This window comes from Homo sapiens, chromosome 12 (assembly GCF_000001405.40).
Source record: "Homo sapiens chromosome 12, GRCh38.p14 Primary Assembly".
NCBI lineage: Eukaryota > Metazoa > Chordata > Mammalia > Primates > Hominidae > Homo > Homo sapiens.
In genome coordinates, this window is record NC_000012.12 from 21,288,911 (window position 1) to 21,304,691 (window position 15,781).

Consider the following 15,781-nt stretch of genomic DNA (forward strand, 5'->3'; position numbering starts at 1 on the left):
ATTATAATCTAGATATAAAATTTATATTTGTATATGGGGAAATGATACACATATATACATATACATACAAAATACCATGTACAATCACATTGATAATCACAATTATTTACAAGCAATACAAATATAAATTTAAATATATTTAAAATCAATACAAATATAAATCAGTTTAAAATCATATACATATTCATATCTCTATATATTTGCAATCACAAATATTTACATGTAGATGGATATATATGTATATTGTACATTTGTGATGGTAATGGTACCATTCTGTGTGTGTGTGTGTGTGTGTGTGTGTGTGTGTGTGTGTGTATGGCATCACTAGAAATATATTTGGTCTTTGTCCCTAGCTTCTGACACGTGTCCTTGGAGTTCTTAGAATTCCCTTGGAACATCCTGAGTGATAGGAATGTATTTTGTCATTCTTAAGGAGATTGTTTTGATCACACCTGAGTCTATAGTAATGAGACGACAGGGTGGCCTCCCAGACTGATGTTGGGACTGGTCACCAGAAAGACCAAGTTATTAGAAGATTGGAATTCTCAGCCCCACACTCAGACCTCCAGGAGAATGGAGTGGGATGTGTGTGCTGAAGATCAAGCTCCCTAAAAGCTCTTGAACTAGGAGATTTGATGAGCTTCTGAGTTGGTAAACATATCCACATGCCAGGAGAGTGGCACACCCCAACTCCACCCTGGTTTCCATTTGTGTCTTTTATAATAACCTTCATAATAAACCAGTAAATGTAAGAAAAGTGTTTCTTCCCTGAGTTCTGTGAACCATTCTAGAAAATGGAGGCATCAACCTTAATGCATCGTTTGTCAGTCAGAAGCCCAGGGTAAAAAAAAAAAAAAGCAGCCCAGGGTGTCTGGACTTGTGATTTTGTGATTGACATCTAAAGTGGGGGCAGTCTTGTAGGACTGAACCGTTTAACTTTTGCCATCTGATGCAAAGTCTATGCAGATAGCACTAGAATTGCATGGAACAGTAGAACACCCAGTTGGTGTTGCAGAATTGAACAGTGTAGGAAAATAATACACACATCTGGCTATCAGAAGTGTTCTGTTTGAATAGAGAAACCGTTTGTTTTTCTCAGTGTGTGTGTGTGTATGTATGCGTGTGTGTATGTATCTGTGTGGCTGTATGTACATATGTGTGTGTGCATATAGAGACATATATATGTATATATGTGCATATATAATTTATATATTTATATATAGTACTTAAGAAGCAATCTAATGGCACATCACCTTTATGAAAAATTTTTAAGAACTTTAAGGATACAAAGGAATATTTAAGCAAATGACAGGATATTACATGTTCAAAAATATTTGATGTCAGATTTTCTCCAAGTAATCTATGGAATCTACACAAACTCAGTCAAAATTCTTATGAAGATATAAAGATCCACAGACAGCAAAATAAGTTTGAGAAAGAAAGAATAAAGGAAAAGTGAAGATGGCAGGTGGGTGAGGCAAAGTTACCATATGAGATATTAACATTTGCAAGGCCAAAGTAATTAAATCAAGGTGACGCTGGTATGGGAACAGGCAAATAAATCTGTGGAGCAGAATAAGGATGAAAAATAGACTCACTAATTATAAAAACTTGAGATGGTGGCACCACAAATCAAAGGAAAAAGGACGTATTATATACACTATGATTTTGGAAAACAACTTTATTATTCGGAGAAAAATAACACTGGATATCTATGTCCCTTAAACCACATATAAAAATAGATTTGAGATGGCTTAAAAAACTATGCAAAAGGTAAAGCGGGAAAGCCAGGGGGGAATAAAATTTAAGGGAATATTTTTATAAGTTAGAAATGTGGAAGCAATTTTAAAAATGTGACTTCTCTTCCAAATACACAAACACTAAGGTAAGAAACTTGTTAGATTTTAGTACAACAAAATTTAGGATTTCATTTCATAAATGGCACTGTAAAAGTTAAAAGAAAGAAGACAGACTAAGTGAAGATAATTGTATCATATAAACAGTATTACATTAATATCTGTAATTTACATAGTAATCATCAAATTCATCAAGAAAAACATAGGATGCAGGAAATATAATGAGTAAAGTGGGTAAAATAAATTGAATAAGCATCATGAATAACTTTTAGCTACAAAGTTATTTGAAGAGATGCTTAAGCTCAGTGTATCAGGACATCACATATTGACACATCAATGAGCTATCATTAGTATTTTACACCCATTGGATTAGTCAACATCACAAAGTTAGATAATTCTAACTCTCATGCAGTGATGATATAAAAATTACTCTAAATAGGACTGGTGAATTTATCTATGCATCTACCTTATGAATCGGAACAAGACTTAACACCACACCACCATTGTTGTGAATATAAAAACAGATGCACACAAAAAATTCTAATATTTTACAAAGGAAATACATATTTAAGACATCTATCTGTCATACTTAAGTGAGCAGCTATGGTGACTGGAAGTAGGGAATTGAATAGAAATAAATAAATAAATGAAGTAAAATAAGAGAGAATCCTTGCACTGGCCTATGATGATAATGTGTTATGACTTGAGCATTGTGATTAACTGAACTCTACTTTAGAGCTCCAAAAGAAGAAGAAAAAGAGAGAAAAAATGCAAATTATGTTCAGGATTGTTTACTAGGCACAAAGACTGGTGTAGTTGAAAGAAGATTTATTTAATATACCTAAATTTGAAAACTGGCTCTGCAATTTCCTAGTTTTAGAAAGTCTTTCAGCATTGATGTCTCACAGTAGCCTTGTAAGAGAGCCAAGTATTTATTATTATGCCCATTATTATTAAAGAAAAATGGAGCTCAGAAAGATCAAGTGACCTTAGCGAGATGGGGGCTTCTGACAGCTTTGCACTGCTGTCCTATAGGTTGAACCCTAGGAAATGGCTGCTAGGCACCCACTCTTTACCTATCAAAATGGCCATTTTATACGGCCTACCCTAAGATATAAATGTGTCTCTTTTGTCACAAAATGAGAGGTCCACTCATTTAACTCTAAGAAATAAGGAAGAAAAGTAGCGAGGAATAGGAGTGAAATGCCAGCAGATGAACATGTGCATTGCTAACTTTAAAATTTTGTGAAATCCAACAATGCTTAATACAAAACCCTTAATAAATGGTACGTTAGAGCACTGAGTTCTTAGATACTGAGTCCTGAGTGACTTTCTTAGAACAAGCTACCTTAATAAATGACCCCAAAAAAATATAAATAAAGAAAATAATTTTGTACCTCAAGAGAACCATATATCCAGGTATGGCAGCCAAAGAATAAATGAAACTGCTCATCGCTGACAAGATTAGGAAGTACTGGAGCATCAAGGAACAGTCAGGTCCTTTGTCGCACAGCCCAAGAACTGCAGATGAATTTCCTGATGTTTGAATACAGCTGCAATTTTGGAACACCTGCCAAAAAATAACATATTATACTAAGAAGTAAAAATCTTGAACACAAATTTTAAACATTTTCTACACAGCCAGTTGGATCAAGATGGAGACTGCTTGTTCCCTTTACTCCATCTCCATTATGATGTCTCTCAAGATTACACCATATAACAAAACTGGAAGGGTGATTTCAGAAAAACGGTATATTTTTCTAAATATGAATAGTAAATTTGTAATAACTAATAAGTTACCCTAAAGACACACTTTTTTATTATTTTATTTATTTATTTATTTTTTTGAAACAGAGACTCACCCTGTCGCCCAGGCTGGAGTGCAGTGGTGCGATCTCGGCTCACTACAACCTCTGCCTCCCAGGTTCAAGTGATTCTCCTGCCCTAGCCTCTGGGGTAGCTGGGACTACAGGCGCCTGCCACCATTCCCAGCTACATTTTGTATTTTTAGCAGAGATGGATTTCACCATGTTGGCCAACTGGTCTCGAACTCCTGACCTCAGATGATCCACCGGTCTCTGCCTTCCAAAGTGCTGGGATTCCTAGGTGTGAGACACCGCGCCCAGCTAATACACTTTTTAAAACAGTGTTTTGATACAACACTACATTGGACAAACAAAATCTGTTTCAGAGTGCTCAACTGAAATATTTAGATGCTTACAAATAAAGCTTTGCTTCAAAGGAATAGTTTATTTCAGCAGGGCGCAGTGGCTTACGCCTGTAATCCCAGCACTTTGGGGGGCCAAGGCAGGCGGATCACAAGGTCAGGAGTTCGAGACCAGCCTGACCAACATGGTGAAATCCCGTCTCTACTAAAAATACAAAAATTACCCGGGCATGGTGGCATGTGCCTGTCATCCTAGCTACTCAGGAGGCTGAGGCAGGAGAATCGTTTATACCTGGGAGGTGGAGGTTGCAGTGAGCCGAGATCATGCCACTGCACTCCAGCTTAGGCGACAGAGTGAGACTCCATCTCAAAAAAAAGAAAAGAAAAGAAATAGTTTCTTTCAAAAAAAGAATTGTCAACCTTTTTTGAATTGTTACATGTTTCCAGGTCTTAATAAGAATCAAAATTTATAGTTTACTTTGATCACCAACCAACGTTATATTAATATTACAATTGATGTTATATTATATTGTGATATCTTAGAGGCAAGAGAACATTCCTAATTCTAAATTCTCAAAGAACTGTCAGAATGTGAAAAACACAGAAAGCACATCCATACATATACACAGAAAAATATATATATATGTGTGTATATATATATGTATATATATATAGCAAAGCAATTAGCTGGACAATTGAAATCAAAACCACCAACTTTATTTCAATGATAAAATTTTTTTAGTCCAGAGTATTTACAACCCAAATTATTTGAGTAATAATATAAACTTCTTGGAAATTTCAGATCACTGGTCAGATGCTATGGAGGTTTCACATAAGATCTGGGAAATAAAAGGTAATCAAGTGACCATCATAGAGTTATTTTTCCACATACAAAAAAAGTAATATGGTTTTGAGGAAACACTAATTTTACTTTTATTAAATATAGGCCCAGTTCATAGTTGGGAAGTACCAATGCAACTCAAAAAAGTTCTGTCAAATAGGATGTCTTACCATGTTTATTCCCGTTCCAATGGATGTCTCACAACCAGCAAGACAAGCTGACAGATATGACAAGCCATTGTTTCCACACACAGGATCCCATATTTTAGATGGACAGTTGCAATCCACATTGCAATCAGCAAAGATGTCATTTTCCACATATAAATCTTGTGGAATTCTGAAGTGATTTAAAATAATGCCATAGATATTAAAAGAGGATTCAATCCTTTTTTTCTTCTTTTCATCTCAATCCCCAGTTAGATTTCCTCTCCTCCCATGAATAGAAAGAGAAATTTTCCAGTCATCAATGTGTGACCTGTTTACTATAGCTTTGGTATAAAAGAGACCTGCTTTGATGACCACATAGCCACTCCTTCAATGATTTATCTCAGAAGAATATATAGGCAATAAACAAGCATTAATTGAGCACCTACCATGTGGAGTCATGTTTTCACATACTATTAGATCTCGAAAGATGAAGATGAACTAATCTCTGTGATTCATCCATTAGGTAGCAAATAGCAAGACAGGACTAGCATGAAGATAAAAATCTGAAAGTTCCATTTGTAATATAGATAATACATTTAGCTCCAGAAACATAGGTATTTGAATTAAAGAAGTGCATTCTACTAATATAAAAAGTGACCAGTGCTTGTAATATGATTGAAAGAGCACTTGCATAGCAGTTTAGAGACTGCATTCAGACTAGATCACAGTGCGACTTTCTACACATTCTGTCTGGGAATCAGCATCATTGGAGATGGAGGCAATCTTTAAAATTTATTCCAATTTTAAAATCCATTTCTATATTGATGTAGTTGAAGAGATTTGAAATGAACTGCTTTTATCATTAAATTTCTCTGAATCTCAATTTAATCTGTAAAGTGGAGATAATAATGCTTATCTTAGATGAAGCTCATGAGTCTCAAATCAAATAGCATATGTAAAATTATATTACTATTTTACATTTGAAATTATTTCAATCTAATAAACCTTGATAATTTTGAAAAAACATTTTAGGATGTTCTTTATTTCATTTTAACTGATAGCTTGATTGTCAAAATACGCCCTACAGGTGAATTCTTTTAATGTACATCACTATGGAAAACATTTCAGTAAAACCCAGATAACCTTTAAAATACAAAATATGAAATGATTCAATATTTTAGACATAGCAATATAAATGAAATATATGAATTATGTATTAATTAATTTATCATGTATTATGATTTAGTTATGCCAAACTTAAGCCCATTGGGGAAACATATAAAGGCCATTTTGACTGTATAATCAACTCTTAGTTTTACTCAGTTATGGGAGTATAAGATATATGGATAACATATTTTAATACAACCTGAAACTGTAGGTAGTTTCTTTCATAGGATAATGTCTACTCGGATATCACAAAGACAATCATGCACACACACCCACATGCACATACAATCATAAATTCACTCACCCTGTGATATGTTCCCAACCTCATTAATAAGCCTAGAGCTTGGATAGATTGGCTTGATTGACAGATGGAGGAAAGATACAGGAAAAGCATGGATTACTATCATTAACTCCAATAAGAAAATGATCTGATCGTGCATTGCCATTGTAAAAAATATCATATTAACCATTTGTTGAAAGATTCTCACATTCATTAGAAAACAACATACCCTTCATAAGAGGTATTTATTCCAACAACTGAAGAATTTTCACAAGTCATGAGAAAAGATAAAAAATAGAGAAGATACTCAAGTAAGGATAACCAACATCCTATGTGGGCAGCTTGTTTGACAGTAATCTTGAACTTCTTCATAATTAAACCACCAATTATATATCCAATACATATTGGAGGTAAGTTATAAATACCTATAAATGCAAATAAAATATTATTTACAAAATGACTTACCAAAGGAACAAATATGTTATCACTTTTATGTAATATGCCTTATATAAGTAACTATTTAGGTCCAACTCATAGTGAAGAAGAATGATTTAATTTTATCCCCACTTAGTTACACATTACCCACAGGGAGATTTTGAAATGCCCCCATAATGGGGAAGTATATTTTGGGAGACTCTTGTTATTATATTATCATTCATTTAACTCATTGCAGTAGCTTGTGAATTTCTTATAGGCAGAGATCATGATAAAAATCTCTTTTCTTAGGATCCAGGTAGAAGTGGCAAGTCAAAATTGGCCAGTAATTTATTCATTTATTACCCTCTATTCTGTGTAGTGAGAATATATATATACAATTTTTCAGTTACCTATCCTCACTTTGGTTGTGAAGAATTAGACTCCTCTCAAAGTGCTTTTTCTTTTCTTTTTTTAGAGACAGAATCTTGCTTTATTGCCCAGGCTGGAGTGCAGTGATATGATCATAGCTGACTGGAGCCTCAGCTTCCTGGGCTTAAGAGATGCTCCCACCTCAGCCCTCTAAGTAGCTGGGACTACAGGTGCACAACACCACACCTGGCTAATTTAAAAACAAAAATTGCAGAGACAAAGTCTTGCTATGTTGTCCAGGCTGGTCTTGAACTCCTGGCCTCAAGTGATCCTCACTCCTCAGCATCCCAAAGTGCTGGAATTAAAGGCATGAGCCACCACACCCAGTTCAAGGTACTTTAGAGAGTCACTTTGCTGAGCCTGTTGCTGTCAAGTGTATTTACATTTCATGTCTTGCTGCTACTGGCTCTTCCTCTCTGAACCCTTCCCAATAAGTGAAAAAAAAGAATAGAAAAAGGAGAAGATAGCCCTAGGTTCCATCTATACAATGTGAGCATCTGGCTCCCCGAATCATATTATTGAGAGAGCTTGTTAAAAATCCATTCCAGAGCCCCACGCCCTAGAGTCTGATTCAGTGTGTCTGAGGGGGAACCCCAGGTATTTGAAGCTTTCACAAGCACTTTAGGTAGTGTGGATACAAGTAGCCTGGGATATTGACTTTTAAAAACAGTGGAAAGATCCCAGGAAAAACCCAAGTTAGGCTAAAACCACTGAGGTTAGTGTGGTTGCAGGAAAAGCCGAATGTGTGTGGCTGCAGAGACACCTAAAACCACTAGGGGGACCAAAAAATTAAATTAGGAGGAACATAGAATCCTTGAACTGGAACCAAAAAGAGTAAAATTTGGTAGTAAAATGCACAATCCTATCTGAAAATATGTAATTTTTGCACTCCCAAATATTTGCATTCATATTATGAATTCACATTCTGACTTCAGAGAGAAGAAAATCAAGGTATTTCTGACCTCTTCCCTTCCCTACCCTTTCTTTCTTTCCTTCTTTCCTTCCTTCTTTCCTTCCTTCTTTCTTTCTTTCTTTCTCTTTCTTTCTTTCTTTCTTGAGATTAGAAGGAAGAAATCCACCAGAGTCAAAAAATATCCTAAAACACTTCAACTTAGGAGTTTGCTACACCCGCCATCACACTGTTCGTGGGGGGGAAAGTGTGCTAGTAAGGCAGAGAAAAACAAACATACCCATTAGAAAGATTGCATCTGAAGATGATATTCCATATTGCTGTTCTAGGTATTTAGGCATGAAGGAGATCATGTTAACGAATGCATTGAACTGTATCACACTTACAAGTATGAAAAGCATATAAATTGGATTGCAGGAAAGACTTTTCATGAAAGGTAGAAAATCTGAAATGAAAGAATGACAACTGTGTCAAACGAACTTGGCTTTGCATTTTGTGACTGGCTTTTCCTGAAACATCCACCTCCTCAACAAATTATGTTTTTTACTATTTTGTAATATGTATTGTTTGCTAATTCTTTTTTCCCCTTGAAAGCTGAAGTCATAGCAATGTTTTGGTGGCTTCTGGAAGTCAGTGATGTAGCTGACTGGGTAGGGATCAGAACACAACAGTTTTGCCCTCAATAAGTCACTGTTGAGTCTTAAAGATCAGTAAGCAAAACTACAAAGTGACCAAAATATTGTCTACGTCCACAGCATTTTATTACTAACCTTTTGTTCTTCTATTAATATATTCTTTTTTCTACAGCTCATTAGAATGAAAGATGCTTGTTCTGTTCTGTAAAGTCTGGAGGAAAATCGAGTTGATAAAGAAGATTTCACACAAATATTTATTTTATCACTCCCTGAACATTTGAAATAAAGATGTGTGGGAATTAATGAGATATGAATGTTCTCAAGTATCCGGAATTTTTTTTTGCTTCTTCAGAACAACAGTTTCAGTGGTTCTGCCATTGGTTCTCAGCAAGATCTACCTGGAGATATTTTTTAAAATACCAACATCCAGGTCCCATCCTCAGAGATGCTGATTCATTTGGTACATTCTAAGGACTATGTAAATGATTTAATCAAAAATGATTCCTGTTAGAAAAAGCACAGAGCCAAATGTGTGGCCTGCCTCTAGTAATGTTTGGCCTGCTTCTAGTAATGTGTGGCCTGCCTCTAGTAATGTGTGGCCTGCTTCTAGTAAATGTTCTTGGTCACACTGCTACCATTCAGGCTCAAGTTCTCACTTTTAATTTCCTTTCACTTTTCCTGTCCACATGTTCTCTGTCTTGACTTTCTTATGCACAATCTTGGTTTGCTTAATAAACTGCTCACAATTCATTCTGGAACAAAATTTCAATAAATAAACAATTTAGAAGAGGAGGACACACAGATTAATGCAAGTAAATGAGTTATAATTGTAAAATTTATATTTATGAATAGGGTACCTGACAGGAGAGAGAGTTATCTGAAGATTTTTAAGTCACCCATGTTTGTTGACATCCCTGTCCTAATAGATGAGTTTCAGTAGCACAAGTTTCTTTTCTATGTCTTGCAACAAGCTAAGCTCTTTCCTAATTTTGAAAATGGAACTGATCTTGCAGACTGCAAGAGGTCTATCAGTCCATAACAATCCTTTAAGAAGAGTTTTTAATATCATCAGAATGATTCTGAGAATTTGCAAGATTCTGAGTTGGCTCCTAATGACCAAAGATGTATTAAATTATGCTCAATTATGATTTAAGAGAATTTACAATTGTTAAGAAAAATTCTATGCAAATTGACATTGTAACTTATGGGTGATGATAGAAACAACAATGACAACATAAAAGTACTAACACTAGTATCAGTATTAATAATAATGTGTGCTAGAATGTCTTTTACCTTCACACAACAATTCTATAGTAAGTACTATTATTATCCCCATTTGACAGAAAACTGAGACCCTCACCATCCGTCAAATAAACATTTTTAAGTTCCAATAGCCAGGCTGCACATCCACACTAATTAAATCTGACCTTTTGGGAATACTACAGAACTTTCAGGCATCAATCATTTTTAAAATTTCCTAGGTGATTCCAATGTGCAGCCAAGTTTGAGCATCAGTGCTCTTGAGTACTAAATACTTAGGCTATCTTAGTTTAGTTTCCCACAGAAAAACCTTCTGTAAATTATACTTTGAGCTTTTATTGAGGTTCTGTACCAAAAAAAATGTTACATGCAATTTACCCTTTCATTTGCTGGAAAACCACTATGTGGCTCAATATTACCTGTATCATGTATCTTATGATCATTTTTAAATTTTTTTACAATTTCTTCCTTGGAGAACTGCTTCTGTTTAAAAATTATTATTCTTCCCTCTACCAAGTATAGAGAGGTGGGTCACCGATCATGTTTTTTTTTTTCTTTCTGATTTAACTTCCAGGAAGCTCTTCGTTAAACTAACACACTGGTTACAAAACTATACTACCTATTAAGATTAGAGTATACTTTTTCCTACTTTTGTTCTTAGTTTAAATTTGCTTGTTCATTTTGTTTCAATTCAACCTATGTTCTCTGTAAAATCGGTTTTTTGAGCAAATGGGACCATATATATACGTGTGTATATATATATATATATATACACACACACGTATATATATACACACACACATATACACACACATATATGTGTATATATATACGTGTATATATATATACGTGTGTGTATATATATATACGTGTATATATATATATACGTGTGTGTATATATATACATGACCCTCTCTCTCCTCTCTCTCATATATATATGTGTGTGTGTACATATATATGTGTATATATGTGTGTAGATATATGTGTGTGTACATATATATGTGTATATATGTGTGTATATATATATGTGTGTGTACATATATATGTGTGTGTATATATATATGAAAGAGAGAGAGAGAGGAGAGTGCCAAGACTGACATAAAAGTTTACACAAATGCTGATCTGAAATATTTCAGCTTCCAAATTATAATATTTATTTTCAAGTAGTACCATAGGAAGAATCGGACTAGTTAGGTATTCTTGACTGGTGACTGTTGATGACAAATTGTCTCAACACAGCATAGCATATCATAGTGTTAGACTAAAATACAGACATATCTATATGAAATAAAAGGTCAATTTCATAGTATTTAGAATATGTATATTTGCCTTTAGTGATTCCATATTTTTCCTTCTTGACCTCTTCTTTTTGTTTGTCTTCATTTTCATTTTTAATGATGTCAGCATTAGTCTCTAGTCCTTCCTTTGGAAGTGTGTTGGGCAAAAAGAAAAAAGGAATGGCAGTGAGCACGTTAACTCCTGCACAAATCAGAAAGCCAAACCACCATGCACCGACCCAACGAGTGTCAGTGGGAGTTATGATCAGATCATCTGTAAAAAAATACACACACTGTTATTAGCTTAAGTCAGTATTTTCTGTATGAACTATAGAAAATTATTAAAATTAGAATTATCGGGTCCCAACCAACTATAAAATTGGCTTATAATTCAGACACTGATAAAATTTTTCTAATAATATGTGGTGTTGTAATATTGTCTAGTAATAAATTAGGCTGGTTATCTGTCTATCATGTAAGGGATTTAAAAGCAGGTATTAACTAAACAGCTACAAGTTCTATTTCATCATCAACAAATGATTGCTTAAAGTTCTATTTCATCATCAACAAATGATTGCTTAATTGAAATAAATTCAAACCTACATGCTTAAATTTTGTAAAACCAAGAAATATAGTTGAAGTGCACTAGAAATAGCATGTGATTCTGTGTCAGATTAGCATTTTATTTTGCACTACTGCTTTCTGGTTTGGAATATTTTAAAAGTTATTTAAATTCCTCCACTAGAGTTTCTCACTTTTAAAGTAGAGATCATTTATCAAATTGAAGGTCAAGTAAGGCCATGATTATATATGATAACATACCTGAGATGCTTTGTATAGTCTAGACACTGTACAAATAGATTTTATTGAATTACCTGTGTTCACAAATCCAGTGTCAACATAAACATTTGCACAGAATGATGCCAACAAAAGTCCAATCAAAGGACCAATAATAGCTCCTGTTTCTACAAGCCCTAAAAATAAATAAAAGTATAAGGTTATAGTACAGTTATATGCCCACATAAAGAGTTCTAGGTCTATGAAAAGCCTGAAGATTGAATATTTTTGCCTTGGATACTTTTGACTAGATACACAATTTATATGAAGTTAAGCTTGATGTACATATAAATGATGGTTGTTTCTGTAAATGTTGAAAAAGAAGCCTCATAATTTAAAGCCACTTTCCCTGGCCTCCAAATTCCCTTTCATGCTGGGTCACAGGTAGAGATTTGCTGTAACAGCACAGGCAGTCCCAGCTGGGATCATGCCATTGACTAGGTCGTGATATAACCAAGGTCCTGTTAATTCATCCCACAGGCATGTTTTGGGAGGAATTCTAAAGCAATACCATCTTATAGTGGATTTCTCATGGCACATTCCTCAAAAAAGTTTCACTCTCAGATCTGCAACTTGAAACTTCCTTCTGGCTATGTCCTCATTATTATTATATGATACAAGTCTTTGATTTTATCATGTTCTCCTTCCTTTACTTCCACAGTTTTATTTTCCATGTCCATCAGTCCTATCTGTCTTCACTTGAATTCTTATCCATTAAAATTTCATCATCAGCTGTCTCATCACTTGTCTACAATTCAGAACCTATGCTGAACCCTCCCTGATCTCTGAAAATCCAGACACGAGCTTCTTCAACTTTCTTCCTGTTCACTTCAAAATTTGGCTTTGCCTATTATCTCTGCCTTCTCCATGGTTCTTGGAGAACCCGCCCTATACACACCTAACTTCTTGGTTCCAACCCCTTCTATCTTCTCTAAGGTTTTGCTCTACCAAATACTCCCTCTCTTGTGCGCGTTCAATTTCCCCGTAGCCAATGATTCTACAAAATCTCAAATCCACCCTGCTTTCTCTCCTTTCACTATACTCTCTGCCTCTACTTCCTCACCTCTCACTCACTTTACTCAAATCCTTTTACATTCTCCTCCAAATACTCTCAGGTAGCCCCAGTGATCTCTTTGTCACTAATTTAGTGTCTTTTTTTGGTCTTCATCTTCCTAGCTTTCTAGGTTATTTGACATTGCTGGCCAACTCCTCTTTTTACATTTCTTCCTGAGAGTTTCATTAAACTATACATGTATTGTTTCATTGTGTTCTTATGACTATTCCTTCTTTGATTTTCCTTTCTCCTATTCTATTTACTAAGTAAAAGTCTTTCCCAGTATTTTATCCTAATATCTCTCAGTATATATATGTTCTTCCACAGCAACCTTATTTCTCCCTCTTGATTTCATTTATTACCTCTCCATTTTTTTTTTTTTGAGATGGAGTTTCACTCTTATTGCTCAGGCTGGAGTGCTCACTGCAACCTCCACCTCCCGGGTTCAAGTGATCCACCTCCCGGGTTCAAGTGATTCTCCTGTCTCAGCCTACTGAGTAGCTGGGATTATAGGCACATGCCACCACACCTGGCCAATTTTTGTACTTTTAGTAGAGATGGGGTTTTATCATATTGGACAGGCTGGTCTCGAACTCCTGAACTCAGATGATCTGCCTGCCTCAGCCTCCTGAGTAGCTGGGATTACAGGCGCATACCACCACACTCGGCTAATTTTTGTGTTTTTAGTAGAGACGGGGTTTCATCATATTGATCAGGCTGGTCTCGAACTCCTGACTGCAGATGATTTGTCCGCCTCAGCCTCCCAAAGTGCTGGGATTACAGGCATGAGCCACCACACCTGGTCAATTTTCCAACTTTTAACCTAGCTTTTATATTCTCTTCTAAACTCCAGAGCCATATGGAACTGTTTTCTTGGTGTAGAGCTATTTGATTTATAGTTATTTGGTTATGGATACACACATGAACACACACTATATATGTATATACATATATATACACACTACATATATATAGTACTAATAATTATGTAGTTCTTTATTTACTAACCTTGTATGGACCACATCATCCTCATTTTAATATGTATAGAGATTATCACAGCTACATTTACATATAATACACCATAGTATTTGTTGAATAAAGAAACAGATGTCATAGCAAGGTGTTTGTTAATTTATTGTAGGAGAGTGTTTGCATTCTTTTAATATAAGTTTGTGAAGGAAGTTAAAAGGACTGAATAGAAAATCACTGAAAAAGATTATTGCAAAATTAATGAGTTGCCAAAATGTGTGAAAAGTCACTTGGGTTAATGATCCCTCAATATTTTCATCCATCTGGATTATGTGTAATCATTTCCATCTTCTCTCACCCTCTTTGACTTTTTTAGTTTTTAAAAGATATGCCTACATACATTAATGGCAAAATGTCCCTATACTAAACGTTATGAGTTTATGACCAACTATTGATAGAATAACAAAAAATATAAGCAAGTCGTGCATAATAAATTAAGAATATTTCAGAGATTGGAAGGCAGCACAAGAAGGTGGGTCTTAAGTTGGCTATTGTTCCAGGTGACCTACATGGATTTTAAAATGGTAATTTCAAGAAACATAAACAAAAAGATGAAGACGTATTTGTGAAAAATATGAAGAAGCCTGACTATATGGAGAGATCATTAAGAAGAGAAACTGTATAGAAACTAAGTAAGTGAATGTCATGCAGAGCCATGAGTAATAAGTGGACAGATCAGATTTAATAAATGAGGAGCTTATATGTGTCATAAATATAGTAGAGAAGACATGATTAAAACAATGCTTGAGAAAAATTATATTGCAAGAATGTTTCTTAAAAACTGAGAAAATAAAATTCTGAAGAGAAAATAATAAAGAGAAACTACAGACAAAGTAATGAGAACCTCAACAAAAACAGAGGTAGTGAAAATAGCGAGAAAGGTTTTGAATGCACAGAACATTTTAGAGAAAACATTTGCAAATCTCTTAACAGATTGGATGTAGTGTAGTGCCAAGCAGATGAAAGGGTCACCTCCAGGGGCACTAGACTTGTGGTATTTCCAATAGTAGAAAGTAGATTTATTAACCAAGTAGCTCATTGTCATTTAGCATATCTCATCTCCATTCAACAAACTTTTATGGAAGGCCAACTGTGCCAAGATACTCTACTCATCATTGTGGAAATCACTAAGACTACAAAAATATAACTAATTTCTAACCTCAAGGAACATATTGCCCTGAAAAGAAGCTAAGGTAGATTTCCATACTTACCAATATATAAAGGAGAATTTTCAAATTTGGCAAAATCTTCTATATAGGAAATACCCAAAGGCAGGATGGGAGTTTCACCCATTCCACGTACAATATTGCCTACTAGGACGTACACCCACATTAATGATTTAACTTCCTTTGTACACTCTGCATTAAAAAAAAAAGACATGACATTAGTGCTTTGACGATAAAGTGTCAGTAATATTAATTCTATGTTTTCTGTAGGCATTTCACAGTTATATGACCATGGCCCCTTGTCAATGAT

At 34.9% G+C, this 15,781-nt stretch overlaps 1 protein-coding gene across 42 annotated transcripts in view; it reads right to left on the minus strand.

Annotated features, from left to right (window-relative positions):
• SLCO1A2 (solute carrier organic anion transporter family member 1A2) overlaps positions 1-15,781 on the minus strand; it is a 155,035-nt gene that overhangs the window by 24,311 nt on the left and 114,943 nt on the right. For 41 of the 42 annotated variants that reach the window (NR_170341.1, NR_170340.1, NM_001386881.1 and 38 more), the window contains 7 exons: positions 15,517-15,663; positions 12,261-12,359; positions 11,438-11,659; positions 8,494-8,658; positions 6,687-6,882; positions 5,035-5,200; positions 3,254-3,426 (listed from right to left, as the gene is read on the minus strand). Coding sequence is in view for 39 of the 42 variants with exons in the window: in NM_001386881.1 (NP_001373810.1) it covers positions 3,254-3,426; positions 5,035-5,200; positions 6,687-6,882; positions 8,494-8,658; positions 11,438-11,659; positions 12,261-12,359; positions 15,517-15,663 (1,168 nt within the window). In the remaining 3 variants the exon portion in view is untranslated. Of the gene's footprint in view, positions 1-3,253; positions 3,427-5,034; positions 6,883-8,493; positions 8,659-11,437; positions 11,660-12,260; positions 12,360-15,516; positions 15,664-15,781 lie in introns of all 42 variants that reach the window. The other variant, NR_170343.1, reaches the window with a different exon arrangement.